Source organism: Homo sapiens, chromosome 18 (assembly GCF_000001405.40).
Source record: "Homo sapiens chromosome 18, GRCh38.p14 Primary Assembly".
NCBI classification, from domain to species: Eukaryota; Metazoa; Chordata; class Mammalia; order Primates; family Hominidae; genus Homo; species Homo sapiens.
Genome location: NC_000018.10, coordinates 9,312,342 through 9,337,765, shown reverse-complemented (window position 1 = coordinate 9,337,765; position 25,424 = coordinate 9,312,342). Strand labels below are relative to the sequence as shown.

At 41.6% G+C, this 25,424-nt stretch overlaps 1 protein-coding gene and 1 long non-coding RNA gene across 6 annotated transcripts in view, besides 4 other annotated features; one reads left to right on the top strand and one right to left on the bottom strand.

Moving 5' to 3' along the window:
- The window catches only part of TWSG1 (twisted gastrulation BMP signaling modulator 1), a 67,648-nt gene extending 64,655 nt beyond the window's left edge, over positions 1-2,993 (bottom strand). Inside the window, exons 1-2 of the mRNA NM_020648.6 lie at positions 2,846-2,993; positions 414-573 (exon numbers count right to left, since the gene is read on the bottom strand). Of these exons, the coding sequence (NP_065699.1) occupies positions 414-536 (123 nt within the window). The 5' untranslated portion in view covers positions 537-573; positions 2,846-2,993. The remainder of the gene's footprint in view (positions 1-413; positions 574-2,845) is intronic.
- Positions 2,205-2,705: an enhancer, noted in NCBI's record as "H3K27ac hESC enhancer chr18:9335059-9335559 (GRCh37/hg19 assembly coordinates)". NCBI's record gives its function as "activates a minimal SCP1, AML or CMV promoter by ChIP-STARR-seq in naive H9 embryonic stem cells {active_cell/tissue: H9 hESC(naive)}" and the evidence as "EXISTENCE:reporter gene assay evidence [ECO:0000049][PMID:30033119]".
- Positions 2,205-3,292: a biological region, named in NCBI's record as "H3K27ac hESC enhancer GRCh37_chr18:9335059-9335559".
- Positions 2,393-2,442: an enhancer, noted in NCBI's record as "active region_13073". NCBI's record gives its function as "activates an Ori minimal core promoter by ATAC-STARR-seq in GM12878 lymphoblastoid cells {active_cell/tissue: GM12878}" and the evidence as "EXISTENCE:reporter gene assay evidence [ECO:0000049][PMID:35858748]".
- Positions 2,503-3,292: a silencer, noted in NCBI's record as "silent region_9282". NCBI's record gives its function as "represses an Ori minimal core promoter by ATAC-STARR-seq in GM12878 lymphoblastoid cells {active_cell/tissue: GM12878}" and the evidence as "EXISTENCE:reporter gene assay evidence [ECO:0000049][PMID:35858748]".
- TWSG1-DT (TWSG1 divergent transcript) lies at positions 3,297-24,713 on the top strand. Of its 5 annotated transcripts, NR_183519.1 has the most exons (4): positions 3,297-3,629; positions 15,614-15,704; positions 18,585-18,605; positions 18,690-19,258. It is a non-coding gene; the product is annotated as a TWSG1 divergent transcript (long non-coding RNA). The 5 variants fall into 5 exon arrangements; NR_183523.1 differs by lacking the exons at positions 18,585-18,605; positions 18,690-19,258 and adding an exon at positions 22,503-24,713; NR_183521.1 differs by lacking the exon at positions 18,585-18,605 and having other exon boundaries at positions 18,646-19,258.
- The last annotated feature ends 711 nt before the right edge of the window (positions 24,714-25,424 follow it).

The following is a 25,424-nucleotide window of genomic DNA, read 5'->3' as shown; positions in this document are numbered from 1 at the left end:
GTAATTTGTTACATAGCAATGGACAACTAATACATCATACTTAGGGTAACAATTTATCTATTATTTGACCAGCTAATTTTTTTTCTAAATACATTCATTGAACCTCTTTGCTATGTTAATTAGATTACACAGATTAAATCATCTGAATAGAGTGCTCATCACCTTGTAATGACATGTTTATACAACAGGATATTATACTCAGTATTGAACTTCTTGAATCTAACCTTGCCTATATATATTGATTGCTATGAGGGTAAAAATCCAGACCTGTGTGTCATGATTCAGTACCTCAGGCCCTGACCCAATACTCAGGTCTTACTCTATATGATATATGCACTCTATATCTGTATATAAACATAATGTTTCTGCTCTACAATATATTTTGATATTAATAAAAGTACTCTTAGTCCTACCTGAATGAGGCATTTGCTCACATCACTAGCACAGAGTGCTTTGTTACAGCTCAGTGATTCTGGAAGCCATGTCAGGAACATCAGGATGGCTAGAGTAAGCACAGCAACATAGTGTAACTTCATGTTTCTTCAAAGAAGATGATCAGTAACTCCCAGGAAACTAAACAAACAAACACAACTTTAATTCAAAGGCAAGTGCTAGGGTAAAAACAAATATAAAAATGAGAAACAAAACATAAACTAAGACTCATTGTTTGTGTCAATATACTTTTTCTTTCTTTTTTAGAGTCTTGCTCTGTTGCCCAGGCTGAAGTACAGTGGTGTGATCATAGCTCACTGCAGCCTTCAATTCCTGGGTTCAAGTGATCCTCCCACCTCAGCCTCCCAGTTATCTGGGACTACAGACAATACCACCATGCCTGGCCTTCAAAAAACTTTTGAGTGATCATTTAAAGATCATTCTCAATGAAAGATTATATAAACATTCAAAAATAAACAATAATTTTGTATAATAATGGCTTCATAGCCATCTTCAAGGACCTAGAACTCTACAGTTCCTCAGACTATCCAGAAATGGTGACTGTGAAAGTAGAGTGAGTATATCTAAACCCTCAGTAACTTGAGAGTATATCAGGCAAATAACTAGCTTCAATACTGCACTGCTACTATTCAACTTTAATTTTAGGTCCATTATTCAACTGTAAGCCCATATAAAACTATTAATATTGTATTATAATTTTAAGATATTTAATTTTAATTCTTAGAATCAAAACAAAATTTTAAATGGAAATTATTCAGGCTTATTTAGACAGAATAAAGCAGCTCAAAGCAAGAAGTAGAGTCCACAGAGTCACTTCTTAAATAATTGAGCAAATAACAAAAGGCTGTTTAATTACTAATTGCATTAAAAACTCTAGGTAATTATTAGAATGTGACGATATTCTTTTTTTTTTTTTTCTTTTAGACGTTGTCTCGCTCTGTCGCCCAGGCTGGAGTGCAGTGGCGCAATCTCGGCTCACTGCAACCTCCGCCTCCCGGGTTCATGCGATTCTCCTGTCTCAGCCTCCCGAGTAGCTGGGATCACAGGAGCCTATCACCACGCCCCGCTAATTTTTGTATTTTTAGTAGAGACGGGGTTTCACCATATTGGCCAGGCTGGTCTCGATCTCCTGACCTCAGGTGATCCACCCGCCTCGGCCTCCCAAAGTGTGGGATTACAGGGGTGAGCTACCGCGCCCGGCCAAGATATTCTTTTAATTCTATTAGTACCACACATTCTTCAAAGTTATTAAGAAGATACTACAGTTCAAAAAGAAGAAGGAAAAAAGACTAGCACAAACACAGTCTGACAGGGGCCAAACAGTATACAGTTATTAAACTTTAAATACGGGAAGATATCATTTCTTCAGGTTAAAACACCTCCCTATCAAACATAATAAATTAAAATAAATGACTACTGACGTAAGAGGGATAAATAGTGAGTTTATGGGGGCATTTATGATTACTCTAAACTTTTATTCTAAGTGTTACAAAGTACATTAAAGGAAAAATAATAAAAGGGTGAAAAGAATAAAGGGCTTTGGACCTGGTATGAGTCAATTTTGAAAGAGAAAACCCTGGTGATCGTTACTGAGGCTCACAAAGCATTCCCTAAAGACCGTTAGTAACTAATTTTCTAATGTATCTAACGCCGCATACCAAGTAGGATGATTTCTGGAGCAACCAGTACATATTTGCGGAGGCCAAATAAGGTTATTTGGAGACTAACTGTCGTGGAACTAGTTTTCATCCTACAACCATGAAAACTGGGATTTCCCCCCTTTCCCATCTTTTACGGTTGTCTTATGAAATGTTCCACAAATTCATCTTACTCCCCAAATTTCACTGGAAAAAGTATTCAAGTAACTACGACCATGTCGAAATCAGGTAATAGAATTAAAGGACTTATCTTTTCCTAAGGAGTTAGAAACCATCATGCATCAAAATTGTTTCGCATACATCACGCCCAAGTTTCTCGTTAAGGGAGATGGCACTGACAGCGACCAGGGCAGAGCCGAGCCTCTGTAGAGCGGTGCCAGGGCCCCGAAGGCGCCGGACGCCCCGCGAGGCAGAGGCCGGTAGCGGTGTGGGGGACCGGGCACCCGGAACCACCCCCACCCCGGCTCGGCCGACGCGGGCTGCGGAGGACGCGGGCCGGCCCAGAGATGGTCTGGACCAAAGCGGCGCAGAGATGCTGCTGGCTCCCGGCGTCCGGCCTGTGCGCCCGCGCCCAGCACCCCCACTTTGTCCTCCGCGCAGCCGGGCCCAGGCTTCTCCCGGCCCCCGCGAAGCTCGCCGCGGCCCCGGGCCTCTAGAGGGCCGAGCTCGGCGCCCGGCCCCTTCCCAACCAAGAGGCCAAGAGGCTGCACAACCCCCCAGCCGCTCCCACTCACCATGCGCCACGGTCCCGCGAAGTCGCCCACCCCTAGATCCCCGCCGGGTCGGCCGAGCCCGGGGCGCGCTGCGGCGGCTTTGAGTGCGAGGCCAGGCCGCGCCTCCCGCCGTCCCCTCAGCGCAGCGCCCGCGAGCCTCGGGCACCTTAAAGAGACAGGCCCGCCCGCCGCCCTCCTCCCGGCTCCTTGCTCCCCGCCCCTGCTCCCCTCTTCCCCTCCGCCCCCGCTGGGGTCCACAGCCGCCAGCTCCCGCCAGGAGGCGTCTCTCACTCCCCCGGCGCTCCTGTCAGCGCGCACGCCCCCATCTCGGCCCCGCCCACTCCCCCCGCCCCTCCCAACGCCACGCCCCCTCCGCGCCACCCGGTTTCGCCCCTCCCTCGTGCCACGCCTCCACCGCAGGCTCCCGCCCGCCCGCCGGCCCGCAGGCCACGCCCCCAGGCGCACCCACCCCAGCTGCTCAACGCGATTTCCCTTCGCGCTTCTCCGCACCGGGATCCCCAGTCCCTCAGGTTCCGACAGACCCTCCTGTCAGGCCCATTCTCCGGGCCCCCTCAGTTGCAGTGTTAAGATCAACAGTGTTAAGATTAAAGCCTTGTGATGTGCTAGCCACTACGCTGAGGATATGCCGTGTACTAAAATTCCTCAGGACTCCTCACAGCTGCCCTGTAAGGAAGCGGCCATGGCCGGGTTCTAGCGATGCGAGGCCGAGGCTCGGGGCGCTGAGTAGCCTAGCGCGTCGCCGAGGAGAGCTGGCACGTGAACCCCTTGTCGTTTGCCGTCAGAGGTAGGATTTATATAAAATGCGCGTTTCCTAGGTCTACCTCAGACCTACTGAATAAGGATCTCCAAGGGTAGAGCTTTCGAACTTCGTTCACCAATTCGATAAAACTTGCCAGGCTCCTTGTGAGTGGCTGGCGCTGAGCTCTGCATCGGAGCTCTGCATCGGGAGTCGAGAAGAGGGGGCGCCATGGATCCGGGCGCGGAGGTCGCGCAGCCTAGGTAGAAGGTGCGCGGTTAGCACGTAGGTTAAAAACATTGAGAATGACACTCAGTTCTTTCCCACAACTCTGGGTTGCTTTTTTTTTTTTTTCTTTTGAGACAAGGTCTCACTCTCACCAGGCTGGAGGGCAGTGACAACATCAGGCTCGCTGCAGCCTCCACCTCCTAGGCTCAAGCAATCCTCCCGCCTCAGCCTCCCGAGTAGCTGGGGCTACGGGCGCGCACCACCACGCCTGGCTAATATTTTATTTTTTTGTAGATATGGAGGTCTTGCTATGTTGCCCAAGCTGGTTTCAAATTTCGGGGCTCAAGCGATCCTCCCACCGCGGTCTCCTAAATCGTTGGGATGACAGGTGTGAACCATAGTGCCCGGCCGGAATTTGCTTTTTAAAGAAGATTCCAGGGTGATTAAGTTAGAGCCCGCTAGACCAGACCGTCCGCGGGGCACCTTCCCTTGGAAATGATGACCTAGTGTCAAACCCTTATGCTGGTAAATCGTAAATGCCTACCACCCACCTTTGTTGATTGGAAGGAAACAGAATGAAAACAGCTGATTGGCTGGGGGTGGATTGCATTACTGATGTTAGCCCACTTTTGTACAATAAATATGGGTTTTAAAAATCATCCTTGAAAATTATCCTAGAGAAATAATTAAGGGTATACCCAAATTTAAGTATAAGAATCTTATTCTTGGCATTATATACTAGTTAAGTGAATTAGGAAACTTCCGATCAATGCACTAATTCAGCCATTAAAAAGTGATACCGCAGATCAGAGGTTCTCAAACTTTTTCGTCTCGGAATCCCTTTACACTCCTGAAAATTATGGAGCATGCCAAAGAGGTTTTGTGTATGTGTGCTACATCTGTTAATACTTTCAAAATTAAAACAATTTTTTACATATTCATTATTTCATTTAAAAATAACAAACCCATTATATGATAACAAATATTTAATGAAAAATAAGTATATATTTTAAAACAGTAGGAAGAACAGCGTGGTTTTAGATTTTTGCTATTGCCTTTAACATCAAACTTAATAGCCACTGTTTTTATATCTGCTTCTGTATTCAAACTGTTGCAGTATCATGTATTATGTAGTTTCTGCTTGTGAGAGAATGAGGGTGAAAAGTCAAATAATGCCTTAGAATTAAAATTAAAATAATTTTGAGCTCACAACCTCCTGAAAATGTCTTGGGATCCCTCCCTAGCAGCCCCAGATCACACTATGACAATTAGTGTTGCAGATGAATATTGCGACTAGAGATATTCATGATACATAAAAAATTTTAAAGTACTGCATAGTTTTTGAATAATTAATTTTGTTGTTGTTTGTTTGTTTTTGAGACAGAGTCTTGTACTTTCACCTGGGCGGGAGTGCAACGCTGCCATCTCGGCTCACTACAACCTCCGCCTCCCGAGTTCATGAGATTCTTCTGCCTCAGCCTCCCGAGTAGCTGAGATTACAGGCGCACACCACCACGCCCGGCTAATTTTTTGTATTTTTAGTAGAGATGGGGTTTCACTATGTTGGCCAGGCTGGTCTTGAACTCCTGACCTGGTGATCTGCCCACCTCGGCCTCCCAAAGTGCTGGGATTACAGGTGCAAGCCACGGTGCCCGGACTAGAGTTATTTTTAAAGTGCTGGAAAGATAATGATGGTATTAGTGGTTATCTCAGTGAGATGGAGTGTTGTCTGTTGTTAATGATGTTTTTTTCTTTTTGCTTGTCTGCATTTTCTGATGTCTTTGCTTGTATTAATTTGATAATAAGAAAAGTAACACAGTTATTTTTCATTTAAATTAAAGATCCTCTTTGACAGGACCTGGAAGGTCAAATGGTAGTTGAGCCCTCAGGTGAATATCAAGTGGTTCCGGATCTCAAATGGTTGGCCATTTGGGAATCTGGGAGCCACGGGGGTCACTGCAGTGGCTATTTTATTTCACCAGAAGACTTTCTGATCTTTGCAAGTGAGAGAGTCTGACAACAATGTGATAGAGCTTCTTAGTAGGGTTCAATGAAAAGTTCAAAGGATTCACTCCCAATCCTCAATCGGATACAGATGTGTCAGTGGGTGGAGTCTCTCAGCCAGCCACAGCTGCTCTACCAAATTACCTCATGTTTAGTGGCTTAAAACAACACAAATTTGACAGGGCGAAGTGGCTCACACCTGTAATCCCAGCACTTTGGGAAGCCAAGTTGGGAGGATGCCTTGAGCCCAGGAGTTCAAAACTAGCCAGGGCAACATGGCACAACTCCAACTCTACTAAAAAAAAAGTAAAAATTAGTCAGGTGTGGTGGCATACACCAGTGGTCCCAGCTACTTGGGAGGCTGAGGTAGGAGGATCACTTGATCCTGGGAGGTTGAGGCTGCAGTGGGCTGTGATCACACCACTGCACTCCAACTTGAGCATGGGAGTGAGACCCTGTCTCAAAAAATAAATAAATAAATAAATAAATGAAATGAATTTATTACTTTACAGTTCTGGAGGCCAGGAATTCTAAAATCAGGGTGTCAGCAGGGCTATGTTCCTTCTGTAAGCTCTAGGAGAGAACCCATTGTCTTGCCTTTCTAGCTTCTAGAGGCCACCTAGAGTCTTTGGTTTGTGGTCCTCCCTCCATTTCAAGTCCAGCAGCTTTAGCATCTTCAAATCAATACCTCCCTCCTCTTTTTCTCACTCTTTGTCTCAACTCTTCGAACACAGTCACACTCCCTCTATGACTCTGACCTTCCCACCCCTCTTTACAATGCCTTGGGATTATGTCCAGCCCACCTGGATAATCCAGGATAATCTCCCTATCTCAAGATGCTTGGCTTAAACACATTTCCAAAGGCCCTTTTGCCATATAAGACAACATATTCACAGGTTAGGATACAGAAGTCTTTAGGGGTTGGTGGGATGCATTATTCTGCCTGCCATGGGGTTATAACAAGGACAATTGTAGTTTGTGAACTTCTGATCTAGAACTCACTTCTCAGGGCTGGTGGATTATACCCTTTCAATTCTAGGCCTTCCTTTGCCCCAGCTAATCCACCCCAGAGAACAAGGAATGAAAAGAGGTTGAAGGACAGGTTAAGTGCTGCCATTGGTCTGTATTCCCCACTTCTAAGCTCCACATTGCTGGTTCTATATGGCGGGAGGGCAGGCCCCAGCCCTAACCTGCATGAGTCAGGGTGAGGAGTCTAGGAAGGGAGGCTTTCCAGCATGAGGCTCTGCAGCCCAGCAGAGGCAGGAAAATCACTGTCTCCCCTGAATGATCAGCTGACTGTGGCAGGCTGGGATTCTGGTTTAGAATCCATATGCCCATTCTTATCTCTTTCCACTTGAGTGAGTCAATTGAGTTAGTTGATTTGGTTTTACAGATTTGGAATAAAGTGAGCTACACTTTCTCAGCCCGTGAGCCTGCTCTTGCGGGAGGGAAGATGTGCTGGGGGTGGAAGGCTATATGAGGAGAAGCCTCCTCCTCTCCTCTGCTCTCCTCCCTCCTCCCTCCCTGCCTTGTTAGGGGAATTACTGCAAAGGGGTCAAAAGAATGAGGAAAGAAAAGGAATTACTTCCAAAGACCTCTCACTCTTCCTGTTTTAAACAAGAAGAAATACAGGAATTATCACAGAGGTTTTGGTTTGTTTTGTTTTGAATTGTGAAATCCCTGTACTTCCCTCTACAATTAAGGAGTTGTTAATCCACCAGGCAAAGGTAAGGTGCAGGGGCTTGGGGGCTGTAGGATTCTCAGGTAGATCCTGGGAAAGGAATCATGCAGGCCCCTCCATACTGCTCTTTCAGCAAAAGATATTTGCAAACGGTTATCAAGAGCTATTGAGATATCTATAAATGTTCTTAAAAACCTCTAAGGCTTTACAAAATCCAATATTTATATCTGGCTCATTGTTGCCTACCAAATTTGGCCCAAACTCTATAGCTTATATATTTAAAATATTTAGTAATTTTCATTTTAGCTCCCCTCCACCCCCCACCCCCCCACCCCCGCCATTACAGAAGCAATATATGCTTGGCTGGGGAAAATCCAAAAACCATGGAACTTCATAATGAGAACCCCATGCCATCACATCCCCTAGATATTACTCCTAGCAAGAGTTTCAGGTATATCCCTGCTTTCTTTTTTTAGTTACATATCTTAAGATGTATTTGCAAAAAGAAATTATCTTAAGCACACTGCACTGAAATTTGTTTTTTCCACTCCATACCTTGGAGATATTGTGTGTTCAGTTCCAGACCACTGCAATAAAGCAAATATTGCAATAAAGTGAGTCACATGAATTTTTCTGTGTCCCGGTGCATATAAAAGTTATGTTTACACAAGAATGTATTAAGTGTACAATAGCATTATGTTAAAAATGTACATACCTTAGTTAAAATATACTTTATTGCTAAAAAAAAATGCTAAAGATCATCTGAACCTTCAGAGGATTGTAATTTTTTTGCTGGTGAAGGCTCTTGCTTGGATCTTGATGGCTGCTGACTGATCCAGGTGGTGGTTGCTGAAGGTTGGGGTGGCCGTGGCAATTTCTTAAAATAAAACAACAATGGAGTTTACTATATTGAACAACTCTTCCTTTCGTGAAAGATTTCTCTGTAGCATGCAATGCTATCCTATAGCATTTTACTCAAAAAGAACTTCTTCCAAAACGTTGAGAGCCAATCCTCTCAAACCCTGCTGCAGTTTTATTAACTAAGTTTATCTGATATTCTAAATCATTTGTTGTCATTTCAATAATGTTCTAAGTATCTTCACCAGGAGTAGATACCATTTCAAGAAACTGCTTTCTTTGCTCATCCGTAAGAAGCAACTTGTTATCCATTTAAATTTGATCATGAGATTGCAGGCTCCATTTTTTCAGGTTTCACTTATCATTCTTGTCCTTTTGCTATTTCTACCACATCTGTACTGAAGTCTTGAGCCTCTCACAGTCATCCATGAGTGTTGTACTCAACTTCTTCCAAACTCCTGTAAATGTTGATATTTTAACCTCCTCCCATGAGTCACGAATGTTTTTAATGGCATCTGGAATGGTGAATCCTTTCTAGGTTTTCATTTTACTTTGTCCAGACCCATCAGAGGAATCACTATGCATGGCAGTGATAGCCTTACTAAATGTGTTTCTGAAATAATGACTTGAAAGTTAAAATAACTCCTTGATCCATGGGCTTCAGAATAAATAGCATATTAGCAAGCATGAAAACATTAATTTCCTTGTACATCTCCACCAGAACTCTTGGATGACTGGGTGCATTGTCAATAATCAGTAATATTTTGAAAGTACTCTTTTTTTTTTACCAGTAGGTCTCAACAATGGGCTTAAAATATTCAGTAAACTATGCTATAAGCAAATGTGTGCTGTCATCCAGGCTTTGTTGTTGTTCCATTGTTAGAGCACAGCAGACTAGATTTAGTCTAATTATTTTATTATTATTATTTTAATTTTTTTAGAGATAGGTTCTCTCTCTGTCACCCAGGCTAGAGCGCAGTGGTACACAATCTTGGTTCACTGCAGCCTCCAATTCCTGGTCTCAGGCAATCCTCCCTCCTCAACCTCCTGAGTAGCTTGGACTACAGGAACATGCCACCATGCCTGGTTAATTTTTAAATTTTTTGCAGAGATATGGTCCTGCTATATTGCTCAGACTGGTCTTGAACTCCTGGCCTCAGGTGATCCTCCTACTTTGGCCTCCCAAAATGTTAGGATTACAGGTGTGAGCCACTATGCCTAGCCTAAATTTAGCATAATTCTTAAGGACCCTAGAATTTCTGGAATGGTCAGTGAGCACTGGCTTCAACTTAAAGTCACCAGCTGCAATCCCCTAATAAGAGAGTCAGCCTGTCCTTTGACATTCGAAGCCAGGCATTGACTTCTATTCCTAGCTACTCCTAGATGGCATCTTTTTCCAATAGAAGACTGTTTTGTCTACATTGAAAATCTGTTGTTTAGAGTAGCAGCCTTCATCAATGATCTTAGCTAGGTCTTCTGAATAACTTGCTGCAGCTTCTGCATTAGCACTTGCTGTAGCTTCTGCATCAGCACTTGCTGTTTCACCTTGCACTTTTATGTTATGGAGACAGCTTCTTTCCTTAAACCTAATGAAGCAACCTCTGCCAGCATCAAACTTTTCTTCTGTAGCTTCCTCACCTCTCTCAGCCTTCATAGAATTAAAGAGAGTTAGGGCTTTGCTCTGGATTAGGCTTTGACTTAAGGGAATGCTGTGGCTGGTTTAATCTTCTATCCAGACCACTCAAACTTTTTCGATATTATCAATAAGGCTACTTTGCTTTCTTATCGTTTGTGTCTTTATGGGAGTAGCACTTTTAATGTTCTTCAAGAACTTTTCCTTTGCACTCACAACTGGGCTGTTTGTTGCAAGAGGCCAAGTTTTCAGACTATCTCAGCTTATAATATTTCTCACTAAGCTTAATCATTTCTAGCTTTTGATTTAAAGTGAGATACTTGCAATTCTTCCTTTTACTTTAACACTTATAGGCCTTTGTAGGGTTATTAACAGACCTAATTTCAATATTGTTGTGTCTCAGGAAATAGCAAGCCCTGAGGAGAGGGAGAGAGATGGGGAATGCCAGTCAGTGAAGCACTCAAACACACAATATTCATTAATCAAGTTCACCATCTTATATGGGTGTGTTCGTGGCACCCCAAAACAATTACAGCATCAAAGCTCACTGATCATAGGTCATCTTTACAGATAAATAATACTGAAAAATTTGAAATATTGCAGGAATTACCAAAATATGACCTAGAGACACAAAGTGAGCACATGCTGTTGGAAAAATGGCACTGATGGACTTCTTGACACAGGGTTACCACAAACCTTCAATTTATAACAAACATAATATCTGCAAAGTACAATAAAGCAAAGCTCAGTAAAACAAGGTATGCCTGTAGATATGTAAGACATCTTTCCATACCAGTCTAGGTAGTTCTGCATCATTCTTTTGGATGTTACACAATTCCACTCCATTGGCCAAGCTGGTCTATTTTCACACTTCACACTTTTCCACTCTTATATTTCTTCACATTTTTCTTTTTGCTTGGGACAAGATTCTTACTTTTTTCTGGCAACACAAATTCTACTCACTCTTTAAACCCAATTCAAAGATCAAATATCATCTGAGCCGACACAGTGCCTGGCACGTAGCAAGTGCTCAATCCATGGTTATTGAATCAATCAATTAAATGAAGGGCCCTCCCAGCTGAAGTCTCCAACAGCCTCTGAGCTCCTAAGCATGTATTTGCACTGGCCTTTCACTACTATTGTATATATGTTTTGTTTTTTCAGCTAATTTGAGATGCTTCCTCAGAGCAGGAATTGTGTCATTCACGTGTCATGTCACTGTGCGCAGGGGTTGCTGAGGTACTTAGAGGATCCACAGAGACTAGGACTTGTGGTCTTCCCTGTATTAGCCAAGATGACAGTAGTCAAGAGGTGGAGGTAAAAGCATTCATGAAAAGAGAAGACTACATAGGCAGAGTCAAGAGCTTAATAGGTACTTTAAAAGATCAGGAAAAACAGAAATCAGTGAAGCTGGAATAATTAGGAAGGCTTCCTCGAGACTTATGCTTGATCTGAAGGGAAGGTTGAACTGGAAGGGGCAGAGGGGAAGGAGACGTTGGAGTGGAGGTGAAGGAGGGGTAATGATGGAAGGATGTTTGGCTAGGAGGAGACCTGAGTTCCCTGCAGCAGGCCACCAGGGCAACCACAGTCCATGATGGCAAAGCCACATTACTGTGCACAAGTGGGATCATCCAAGTGCCCAATAGACTTAATGCTCATTGTGTGTGCATGATAAAGTTTACATATCATAAAATTTACCATTCTAACCATTTAAAAGTATACAACTCAGTAGCAATTTAGTGGTTCAATTTAATACAGCCACAATGTTAAGCAACCATCATCACTATCATATTCCAGGACGTGTTTATCACCCCAAAAGGAAACTCAGTACCCGTTGAACAGCACTCCCCATTCATTCCTCCTCCCCCATCCCTTGGCAACCACTAATCTGCTCTCTGTCTCTAGGGATTTGCCTATTCTGGACATTTCATGTAAATGGAATCATATAATATGTGGCTTTTTGTGTCTGGCTTCTTCACTTAGCACAATGTTTTCAAGATTCCTCCATGTTGTAGCATTTATCAAAATTTCATGCCTTTTAATAGCTGAATAATATTCCAATGTTTATATATACTACATTTTGTTTATCCACTCATCAGTTCACGGAGATTTGAGTTGTTTCTGCCTTTTGGCAATTGTGAATAGTAGTGTGCTATGAATGCTCATTTACAAGTTTTTGTTTGAACACCTATTTGGTTGTTTTTTTTTTTAACAGATCAAAGTGTATGTATTTATCATGTACAACAAGATGTTTTGAAGTATATATACATTGTGGAGTAGTTAAATATAGCTAATTAGTGAATGCATTAACTACCTCACACAGCTATCATTTTTGTGGTGAGAATACTTAACATCCACCATCTTTGCATTTTTCAAGAATACAATGTATTATCATTAACTATAGTCACACTGGATTTCTTGCCCTTATTCCTCCTACCTAACTGTAATTATATATCCTTTGACCAACATTTTTGACCACAATTCTAGTTCTCTACTTTTTACTATTTTTTTTTTTTTTTTTGAGACAGAGTCTTGGTCTGTCACCCAGGCTGGAGTGCAATGGCATGATCTGGGCTCACTGCAATCTCTGCCTCCCAGGTTCAAGTGATTCTCCTGCCTCAGCCTTCCGAGTAGCTGGGACTACAGGCACATGCCACCAGGCCTGGCTAATTTTTGTATTTTTAGTAGAGATGGGGTTTCACCGTGTTGGCCAGGCTGGTCTGGAATTCCCGACCTCAGGTAATCTGCCTGCCTCAGCCTCCCAAAGTGCTGGGATTTACAGGCATGAGCCACTGCCCCCAACAACTCTAGTCTCTACTTTATGAAACAAACTTTTTAGATTCCACATATGAAAAGATCATATGGGATTTGTCTTCTGGACCTGGTTTATTTCACTTAACATAATGTCGTCCAGGTTCCTCCAAGTTGTTGCAAATGACAGGATTTAATTCTTTTTTATGTCTGAATAGTATTCCATGGTGTATATATGTCACATTTTCTTTCTTTCTTTTCTTTTCTTTCTTTCTTTTTTTTTTTAATTGAGACAGGGTCTCACTCTGTCATCCAGACTGGAGTGCAGTGACACAGTCATAGCTCACAATGGCCTTGAATTCCTAGGTTCAAGTGATTCGCCTGCCTCAGCCTCCTGAGTAGCTGGGACTACAGGTGCATGCCACCATGCGCAGCTAATTTTTGAAAATTTTTTGTAGAGACAGGGTCTCGAAATGTTTCCTGGGCTGGTCTAAAACTCCTGGGCTCATGCAATCCTCCCATCTAGGCCTTCCAAAGTACTGGGATTGCAGCATGAACCACTGCAGCAAGCCTCATTTTTATTTTTATTTTTATTTTTTTAGAGAGAGGGTCCCGCCCAGGCTGGAGTGTAGTGGCTATTCACAGGCATGATCATGGCTCACTGTAACCTCAAATTCCACACTAACAGGAGTGAGGCAATATCTCATTGTGGTTTTGTTTTGCATTTCTTGAACACCTATTTTTAGTTTCTTTGGGTATATACCTAGGAGTAGGATTCCTGAGTCACATGGTAATTCTACGTTCAGCTTTTTGAGGAACTGCCAAAGTGCTTTCCACAGCAGCTGCACCATTTTCCCATTCCCACTGGCATCGTATGTAGGCTCCTCTCTGCATCCTTGCCAACAATTCTTATTTTTCTGTTTTTTTGTATTGTAGCCATCCTTGTGGGTGGATGTTTGTATCCTGCCTTATTCCATGAATGATTGGAGAGGCTTACAAAAACACATACAATATAGAAAAGGCCAAGCAAGAAGGGAGCATAAGGTTAAGATTCTCTTAATAAGATCTTAATAAGATTGAGGCACAGAGTGACTCATCCAGATGAGTGTAACATATTGGTTCTAAGTATCCTAGCAGTAAAGGCAAAGATAGAAAGCACAACATATTATAATATGCACAGTATTTGTAGGATAAAACTAGAAGTATTACTTTTCTTAATACTGGTGTTTGAGAGAAATTTATCCCATGGGTTCCCATGAAAAAGTGCATTGAATTATTCAACAAAAGTATATATTTGATCAATAAGTTGAAGATCTATTATATGCCAAGCACTATATGTCAGGCACTATCTATTGCTAGCGTGTAATTCTGGACAAGTAACCTAAGCATCTCCATGCCTCAGTGTCCTCATTTGTAAAATGGAGATAATAATAGTATCTACTTGTTATGATTGTTTTGAGGATTAAATAAGATAATGTCAAGTGTCTGGCACAGAGTAGGCTCTCAAGAAATGTCAGCTGCTGCCATGGTAATGATGATATTGGTCATGATGATAAAGAAGATGCTACCCGAACTTTGGAGCTTACATTTCAGTGTGTATTGGGGGAGGAGGGAGACAGGTAATAAACAGATAGACAACTAAGCCTATAATTACAAAATAGGATGAGCTCTTTGAAGGAAGTCAACAGCATGCCAAGAGAGAGAATAACAGGGAGAGCCTCACTTAGATAGAGTGATAGGGAAGCTATCTGTGTGGCGACGACATGGAAGCAAGAGCCAGGGAGAGTTCCAGGCAGAGGCAACAGCATGGATTAAGTCTCTAAGATGAGAAAGAAGAAATGAGGTTAAAAAGATAGACAGGAGTCACCAGATCGTGCAGACTCTGGAAGCCCTGGGAAGGATTCTAAGTGCAACGTGAAGTTGCCGAAGGTTTTAAAGCAGGAAGTGGCATGTGTACATTTATGTTCTTAAAAGATTGACCCTGGCTATGATGTGGAAACTAGATTTGAAGTAGGTGAGGGTGGAGCAAGGAGACCAGTGAGGCTGTTGAGACAAGGCTGGTTTCAGCTGGAGTTATGGCTGTGAAGATGGACAGATATGATGTATATTTTGGAGTGGAAGTGAGACTAGGTAACAGACCAGAACCAGGAGGGTGTAAAGGAGAGAAAGAGGAAGGATTGAGGATGACTCCTAGGTTTCTGTGTTGATTGTTGGTGGTGCCATTGGGTGAATTGGGGAAGAAGGGGAAAAAAGCAGGTTTCAGAGAGGAAATCAAGAGACTGGGTCATGGCAAGTTTGAGATGTTCATTAGGCGTCCACATGGAAGTGTCGATTAGGTTGCCACTTATGGGGTTTGACACTCAGAGAGATTTGGGCTGGTGACTTAAATTTAGGGATGCCTACAATATCAGTGACACTGAAAGCCCTGGAAATAGGTGAGCTCCCCAACGTGAAAGAGTTATATAAAGAGAGAAGACAAGACAACTAAGCCTTGAGGAAGTCTCACGTGTAAAGATTTGGCAGTGGTCAGAGAAGTAGGAGGAAAACCAACTCTTGGTCCCCTACATGGTGTACGATCTACTATCCTTAGCACCATGCTTAAAATAGGAAAGCATTCCTGAATAGAGATAGGGTACAATACAGAGACATTTAGCTTTTCTATGAGGCACCAAAACAATGTGGCTCAGTTTACTCAATTCTGTGCACTTGCGTTGTCCCCTTTCTAAAGGTCAGTTTCTCAGCTCATTGCAAGTTAATTATTTTTTTTGAAGCCCAGGTCTACATGGGGGAAAAAATGAAAAAGGCAATGGAATGAATATAAGCTGGTGCAAAGCAATGGAGACAGCTGCTTGGATTAACCTTTTGCTTTTGTCACAGGTGTTATGTGGTGGCCCTCATTCTCCATGCATGGAGCAGACTCTAGGATCTGCAGTTACTGTATGATGAGCCCTTCTGAGTATTTTGCTTGGTAAGTGCACACATGTCATGTCCCTGATTACAGCAATGTGATGTTGGACATTTTATCACCAAGAAAAGTGGGCGCGATTGTCTGGCTCCAATCCAAATGCTGGCGTTTGCCAACTAACAATAGTTTCAACTGAAATTCATTTAACAGGGAAGAGAAGGAATGGCTTTGATGAGATTCCAAGTACAGCACAAACATCAGGCTGACCTGCAGGTTGGGCAAGGCAGGGTCAGAAACAGCAGCGGAGCCTTGCTGGGACTCCCACTATCATCTAAACAACAACATAGCAGCAGGACCTTTCACAGAGAGTTCCCAACCATGTGAGAACCGTAAGAGCCTGTAGGGTCACACAGTCCTACCTCCTCATGGGGCAGCTGAGGAAGGGGAAGCCAGGGAAGCTAGGGGTTGCCCAGGGATGTGGGGGGTATTTTGTAGTCAAAACTCTAAGACAGCAGTGGGGGTCAGGCCCCGAGTGTTGACACATTCATGGAGCAACAGCCACGTGTCCAGCACAGGGCTAGGCACTAAAGATATGTCAAACTTAAATAATGAGATTTAGAAAACATTAGTAAGTATATAGTTTATTTGAGCACACAGCTTGAGAACAGCCACCCAGGGAAACAGACTCCAAATGAATGGGATCAGCATTCCAAAGTGGAGAAGTTAAAGTTTCACTCATGTAGGCAGAGACAAAGAAGTTTCAGCTGGATTATGACATTTTCCATACGAGGCTAGTGCATACATCATAGCTATTTGATTGATTACAGATTGCTACACTCCAAGGAAGATTACTTTATTATTTCATGAGGAGGGATTATGGTCTGAGGGGGGTTCTTATCTCTGGCGCCATTTGGTCTTCATAATTATTTACAGGAAAAAAGGGCGGAAGTTGCAGCTGCATGCCACATGACTCAGGCCACATGGCCACATTCCTCTCAAGGCTCAGAATAATCTAAAGTTCCAACGGCTTTAAGTTTGAATTATTAATTGCACAGATACAAAGAGGAGCAAGACCAAGAAGAGAGAGAGAGCTGTAAAGAAATAGCCATAAACAAATAACAAATGAAAGAATGTGACCAAGTTTTCCAACAAAGGTGTGAACACAGTGCTATGGGAACCAAGAGGCCAGCTGGCTCTAACTTTGTTTTTAAATCTAAATCAGAGGCAGACTGATAATTGCCATTTTTTACTACAAATTGAGGATACCGTGTTATAATCAGTGCTTCGGGCTGAGACGGAATGATAGTTAATGCTCCCAAACCTGTAGTGGCCTTGTTTTCTTTATATCTCTAAGCCTGAGTCACTGTATAGACCAGAATAAAAACGTGGTGATGTTATACCCCATACTGGGAACCTGACAATTCGTGGATAATAGAGCCTGGTGCCTGGCACAAAATAGGTGCTCAAGTATTTTAATTAATATCTCTACAAATAGATACATTAACACTGCTCAGGCTTGGAAAATAATTTAAGCTCATAAAAAGAAAACATTGGTAATAGGACTGGTGATACAGAAATTCGTAGCATTTCAACTTAAGTTAGATATAAATACTGTCTGCCCAGGTGGCATGCAGTCCTCTTTCTTTACCTTTCAAAATCATCTCAGAAAATTTCCTTGTGCATATGTCTCATATTCCAGTTACTGTTGCTACATAACAAATTACCCCAAAACTCAGTGGGCTACAACAACAACAACAATCATTTTCATTCTCTCATGGGTTTTGTGGGTCAGGAATTCAGGAAGGGCTTGGCTGGGTGGGTTTCTTCTCAGCATCTCTCATGCAGGTGCTGGTGGACAGAGGCTGGAGCTGGAAGGGGGAGGGCAAGTGTGCAGTTGCAGCAGCTGGGGATAGGCTGGGCATTCTTCTTGCTTCATGTAGTCTTGGGTCCTCTCAGGTGGTGGCTTGAATCATCTCCTTGGGCTTCCTCCCAATATGGTGGCTTCAGGGCGGTTTTTCTGCTTATATGGCAGCTCAGGACTCATGGATGTCCCAGAAGAACCAGTTAGGAGCTTTTTTTTTTTTTTTTTTTTTTTTTAAGATGGAGTCTCACTCTATCGCCCAGGCTGGAGTGCAGTGGCACGATCTTGGCTCACTGCAACCTCTGCTTCCTGGGTTCAAGCCATTCTCCTGTCTCAGCCCCCTGAGTACCTGGGATTACAGGAATGCACCACCACGCCCGGCTAATTTTTGTATTTTTAGCAGAGATGAGGTTTCATCATGTTGCCCAGCTGGTCTTGAACCCCTGACCTCAGGCGATCTGCCCCCTTTGGCCTCCCAAAGTGCTGGGATTACAGGTGTGAACCACTGTGCCCAGCCTGAGCTGTGTTACCTTTTATGACCTAACATTGGAAGTCATATAGTACCATTTCTGTTTTACCAACCTCACCCAGATGAAAGGAGTGTCATTGTTAGAAGAGTATGTGGAATGGAATTTATTGTCATGGCCAACTTTAGAAAATACAATCTATCACATCCCACAAAACCCGAAATTCTTGTAATGGTTCCTTTTTATTTGTTTTTGTTTTCATTAACTCAGCTCAGAGATAACTTAAAACTTGCCTTTGCAGTTGCCTGCTCTGGGTCTGGTCTGCCAGATAAGATGGCAATAATGAATCAGTGTGTCTCAAAAACTATTTTGTAGAACATAGTTTCAAGAGACCTGATTAGATGTTGCTTGAAAAAAGTTAGAAAAAAGAGGGATTGAATAGGTTTCTTTTTAATAGAACTTTTCAGAGCTCTTAATTTACTAATGAACCTTTTATTATAGATCATCTGTGGAGCACTTGCAGGACTAGAGTTCCAGCAACACTGGCCACTAATTATTTTTGGATGCTTTGCTGGATTCAACTATAATCTAACAATAAGTTTCTTTATGTTTCAGGGTGGACAGTTTATGTGTCAGGTATGTGTATTTATAATTAAAATCAAATATTATTACATAGGCTTTGCACCTGGCGAGGTAACATTGAGAGTAGTTAATCTCTAGACTGGAATCCATCTGGAAGACCACTCAATAACTTGTGATTAGCTGGACCTGGTGATGCAAGCCTGGAGTCCCAGTTACCCGGAGGCTGAGGTGGGAATATCGCTTGAGACCAGGAGTTTGAGGCTACAGTGAGCTGTGATTGTACCACTGCACTCCAGCCTGGGTGACAGTGCAAGACCTCATCTCTTAAAAAAAACAAACAACTCAAAAAACCTCATCATTGAGCACCTATGATGTGCCAGCAACTGTACTCAGTGGTGGGGACTTGACGACAAACAAACCAGGGATGGGATCCTTGAGCAGTCACCATCTGACAAGTGACTGGGAAAGATGAATAATGCCCTTCACCAAGATTCTTCTCTGATCCACAAATTCAATTACCAATTTATTTGTTCACTGCTCTTAAACTTAAATATTTTTTAGTAGGTAATAAAGACATGTTTAAACACTCTTAACTTTTAACAATTTCTTTGTAAGTACTGTAATAGTCTTCTTTTCCTTTAAAAAGAAAAAATACAAAAAGAAGGAAAAGGAAAATCTATTCAAAATAAAGTATTCCAGATATCTGACATTGCTGCATTGCTGTATCATTCATTAACATTCACAAAAAATAAAATGAGTGCCTTCCGTGTGTGTGCAGGCATTGTTCTAGGCAAAGAAGATTTAGCATTCAACCAAAACTTCTGTTCTCATGGAACCTACCTACTCGCAGATCCAAGCCATGGTAGTTTGTTCAAGAACCTTCAGCTCTTTTCTGCTTTGTTGTCAAAGGCTTCTAAAATTGGATCCCCTCCTCCTTAGTTCTTCCTGATCCCTGACAGGGATCCTGTGCTTCAGTCAGCCTCCAATCCCAACCACCACCACCAACAAAATCACAAGAAGACACCTAGGCTATTATTCTTAACCTGTTTCCCAGTTTCTATTTGTTAACCCCCTCTGGATTAGGCATTGTTGTCTTTGATCTTGACATGTGCCTCTATGTGGAGAGTGTATTTTTGCTCACCAAATTTTTACTCATTAAACTTTACTGGTGCTATGCTTGCTAACTTATTTCAGATAATTAGAGCTTTTGGATGCTTTCTCCAGGACAAACTGTTCCTTTCCCCATCCTCAGCCTTCCATGCTGTTAATGTACAAAATCAGATGATTTAAACATAAATCATCTTGAACTCTAGAATGACCTGGTCCCCTTAGCGAAAAACTGTGGGATTCAACACTACTCCTCAGTGATGATGGTAAGGCTACGTGGGCAGTTGTTTAACCATTATCCCCAGGTGCCCTCACCCACAGCCAGCCTGCTCAAAGGACTATTTCCCATTCCAATAATAATGACAGAGCTAGGAGGGAGGCCATGACTAATAAAGACATATAAGATGTTATTGCAAATTCTTTTTTCTATCCATATGAATTATAAACTAAAAAATATTGACAAATATCAGCAATTACATCGAAAGAAGAAGGTGGTTGTCAAAAATAAAAACCATTGTTATGTTTTATAAATGTTATTGAAGTCCACAGGAAATACATTAATTTGGTGGGTGTAAAATTGGAAGAATTTTGAAAAATGTATGCAGTGGTGTAACCACAAACACAATCAGGATATTTCCATCCCTCCAGAGTTGCCTTATGTTCCTCCTCCCAATCTGTTTCCTGTCAACTAATTATCTGCTGTCTGTCACTGTAATATTGCCTGTTCTAGGAAATTAGATGAGTGGAATTTTCTATTATGTGGTCTTTTGAGTCTGACTTCTTTCAATAATTATACTGACTTTGAGATTTATCCATATTGTTGCATGTATCAGTAATTCATTCATTTTCATTGCTAAGTGGTATTGTATGAATACAGTTTATTTATCCGTTCATCAGTTGATGGACGTTTGGGTTCATTCCAATTTTTAACTATTATAAATAAAGTTGCTATAAACAATATGCAAGTCCTTACGTTAACATAAGTTTTCCTTTCTTCTGGGTAAATTTCCTGGAGTAGAAATGCCGGGTCATATGGTAAGTATATGTTTAATATTGTAAGAAACTGTCAATGAATTTCCAAAGTGACTGTACCATTTTACATTTTATCAGCAATGTATGAGCGTTCCAGTTGCTCCACACTCTCACTGATGGTTGGTATTTTCAGTCTTCTTAATTTTAACCATTCTAGTGGGTGTATAGTGGTATGTCATTATGATTTTAATTTGCATTTCCCTAATGACCAATGATGTTGAGCATCTTTTTATGTGCTTGTTTGCCATGTATACATCTTTTTAGGTAAAGTATGTTCAAATTTTGGCCCATTTATTGGTTTTTGTAGTTATAAGAATTTATGTATTCTGGAATCAAGTATTTTATCAGATACATGTTTTATAAATATTTTCTCCCAGTATGTGGCTTATATTTTTTATTTTCTTAACAGTGTCTTTGAAGAACATAAATTTTTAATTTTAATGAAGCCCAATCTGTTAATTTTTCTTTTACAGTTTGTGCTTTTTCTATCCCACTTAAGGAAACTTTGTCTAACTTAATGTCACTAAGATTTTCTCCTGTTTTCAGCAGGCGCGGTGGCTCATGCCTGTAATCCCAGCACTTTGGGAGGCTGAAGTGGGTGGATCACCTGAGGTCGGGAGTTCGAGACCAGCCTGACCAACATAGAGAAACCTTGTCTCTACTAAAAACACAAAATTAGCCAGGCTTGGTGGTACAAGCCTATAATCCCAGCTACTCGGGAGGCTTAGGCAGGAGAATCACTTGAACCTGGGGGGCAGAGGTTGCAGCGAGCCGAGATTGCGCCATTGCACTTCAGTCTGGGCAACAAGAGTGAAACTCCATCTCAAAAAAAACCAAAACAAAACAAAATTTTCTCCTCTTTTCTTTTCTTTTCCCTCACCTCCCTCCCTCCTTCCCCCCTCCCTCCCTCCCTCTCTCTCTCTCTCTTTCTTTCTTTCTTTTATCTCATTCTGTGTTTCAGGCTGGAGTGTTGTGGCCACAATCTCAGCTCACTGCAACCTCCACCTCCCAGGTTCAAGCGATTCTTGTGCCTCAGCCTCCCAAATAGCTGAGATTATAGATGTATGCCACCGTGCCTGGCTAATTTTTATATTTTTAGTAGGGACGGGATTTCACAACATTGGCCTGGCTGGTCTCGAACTCCTGAGCTCAAGCGATCCACCCACCTTGGCCTCCCAAAATGCTGGGATTACAGGCGTGAGCCACCATTCCCAGCTGTTTCCTGTTTTCTTTTAGAAGCATTATTCTTTCAACCCTTACAACTGATATCTTGATCCATTTTAGGTTATGTCTCATATGTGGTGTAAAGTAAGGGTAAAGGTTTATATTTTTGCATATGGCTGTTCACTTGTCACAGGACCATTTACTGAAAGCACTATCCCTCCCCCCATTGAATTTCATTGGCACTTTTGTTGAAAATCAGTTGCCTCTACATATGTGGGTCCATTTCTGTATTTCTAGTCAGTTCCCCTAATATATGTGTCTATATTTATGCCACTACCATACTCTTGATTACTGTTGCTTTTATAGGAAGTCTCAAAATTAGGTAATATAAATACTCCAACTTTACCCTTTTGCAAAAATTTTAGGGTATTCTAGATTATTTGCATTTTCATATAAAGTTTAGAATCACCTTGTCAAATTCTACAAAAAAAAAAAACCCTGCTGGGATATTGATTTGATTTGTGTACAGACAACTTTCTATATTGATTGGAATTGTACAGTCAGACAACTTATGATTGACATATTAACAATATTGAGTCTTTCAATCCATGAGTACGGTATATCTTTTTTTTTTTTTTTTTGAGACAGAGTCTCGCTGTGTCACCCAGGCTGGAGTGCAGTGGTATGATCTCAGCTCACTGCAACCTCCACCTACCAGGTTCAAGTGATTTTCCTGCCTTGGCTTCCCAGGTAGCTAGGACTACAGGCGTGCACCGCCACACCTGGCTAATGTCTTGCATTTTTAGTAGAGATGGGGTTTCACCATATTGGCCATGCTGGTCTCGAACTCCTGACCTTGTGATCTGCCCACCTCAGCCTCCCAAAGTGCTGGAATTACAGGTAAGTATAGTGTATCTTTCCATTTATTTCCAAATTTCTCTCAGCACTATTTTTTATGTTTCAGGATATAGAACTTGCACAGTTTTCTTGAGTTCATTTTTATTTCATATTCTTTTTTATTATTTTATTTTAAGTTCCAGGGTACATGTGCAGGATGTGCAGGTTTGTTACATAGGTAAACATGTGCCATGGTGGTTTGCTGCACTGATAAACCCATCACCTACGTATTTTACCCAGTATGCATTAGCTGTTTTTCCTGATGCTCTCCACATCTCCGCCCTCCCCCAACAAGCCCCAGTGTGTTTTGTTTCCCTCACTGTGTCCATGTGTTCTCACTGTTCAGCTCCCACTTATAAGTGAGAACATGCAGTGTTTGGTTTTCTGTTCCTGCATAGTTTGCTGAGGATAATGGCTTCCAGCTTCATCCACGTCCCTGCAAAGGACATTATCTCGTTCCTTTTTATGGCTGCATAGTATTCCATGATGTATATGTACCACATTTTCTTTATCCAGTCTATCATCGATGGGCATTTGGGTTGATTCCATGTCTTTGCTATTGTGAATAGTGCTGCAATGAACATACATGTGCTTGTATCTTTATAATAGAATGATTTATATTCCTTTGGGTATACATACCCAGTAATGGGATTGCTAGGCCAAATGGTACTTCCAGTTATAAATCTCTGAGGAATCACCACACTGTATCCCACAATGGTTGAACTAATTTACAGTCCCACCAACAGTGTAAAAGCATTCCTATTTCTCCGCAACCTCGCCAGCATCAGTTGTTTCTTGACTTTTTAATAATCACTGTTCTGACTGGCATAAGATGGTATCTCATTATGGCTTTGATTTGCATTTCTCTGATGATCAGTGATGTTGAGTTTTTTTCATGTTTGTTGGCCGATGGAACAGAATAGAGAACTCAGAATAAAACTGCCATCTACAATTATCTGATCTTCGACAAACCTGACAAAAACAAGCAATGGGGAAAGGATTCCCTATTTAATAAATGGTGCTGGGAGAACTGGCTAGCCATACGCAAAAAACTGAAACTGGACCCCTTCTTTACACCTTATACAAAAATTAACTCAAGATGGATTAAAGACTCAAATATAAAACCAAAAACTATAAAATCCCTAGAAGAAAATCTAGACAATACCATTCAGCACATAGGCATGGGCAAAGATTTTATGATGAAATTGCCAAAAACAATTTTAACAAAAGCAAAAATTCACAAATGGGATCTAATTAAACTAAAGAGCTTCTGCACAGCAGAAGAAACTATCATCAGAGTGAACAGACAACCTACAGAATGGGAGAAAATTTTTGCAATCTATCCATCTGACAAAGGTGTAATATCCAGCATCTACAAACAACTTAAGCAAATTTACAAGAAAAAAAAAACCATTGAAAAGTGGGCAAAGGACATGAATAGACACTTCCTATTTCATATTGTTGATGCTGTTTTCATTTGTAATTTCCAAGACTTCCTATCATATAGAAATACAATTGATTTTTGTATATTGACATTTTTGTATATTGGTTTTTGTATCCTGTAACTCTGCTAAACTCAGTTATTAGTTCTGGTAGCTTTTTTGGTGGATTTCTTAGGATTTTTTTTTTTGAGATGGAGTCTCACTCTGTTACCCAGGCTTGAGTGCAGTGGCATGATCTTGGCTCACTGCAACTTCCACCTCCCAGGTTCAAGCAATTCTCCTGCATCAGCATCCCGAGTAGCCAGGACTACAGGTGCATGCCACCACCCCCAGCTAATTTTTGTATTTTTTTTTTAGTAGAAATGAGGTTTCGCCATGTTGGCCAGGCTGACATCAGCTGAACCACTTTGGCCTCCCAACGTGCTCAGATTACAGGTGTCAGCCACTGCGCCCAGCCAATTTCTTGGGATTTTCTATATAAGAGACCTGTCATCTTTGAATAAAGATAATTTTATTCTTCTTTTAGGCCTGATGCTTGCTTTTTCTTCTTATTGCCTTATGGAACAAATTAGGACCTCCAGTTCAATGCTGAATACAACTTGTGAGAGCAGACATGCTTGCCTTATTTCTGATATTAGAGAGAAAGAATACTCTTTCTTTCATTAGTGTTTTATCTGTTTCATTAGTGTTAATAACTGTTCCATCAGATATTAGTGTTTCATTAATAAGTACAATGTAAGCTCTAGGTCATTTTTAGATGCCCTTTAGCAAGTTGAGGAAGTTACCTTGTATTTCTAGTTTGCTGAGTGATTTTTATCATGAGTGATTTTTTAATTTTGTCAGGCACTTTCCTTCACCTCTTGTGGCATTTTCATTGTTTTACTTTTTGAGTCTTTTAATATGGTGAATTACATTGACTTTCGAATGTTAAACCAATCTTGCATTCCTGGGACAAACCCCACCTTGCATTGATGTATTATAATTCTAATGTTACTGGATTTGATTTGCAAAATTTTTGTTAAGAATTTTTGTGACTATGTTCATAATAAATGTTTTCTTTTCTTTTCTTTTTTTTTTTTTTTTGAGACGGAGTCTTTCTCTGTTGCCCAGGCTGGAGTGCAGTGGTGTGATCTCGGCTCACCGCAACCTCCGCCTCCAGGTTCAAGCAATTCTCCTGCCTCAGCCTCCCAAGTAGCCGGGACTACAATCATGTACCACCATACCCAGCTAA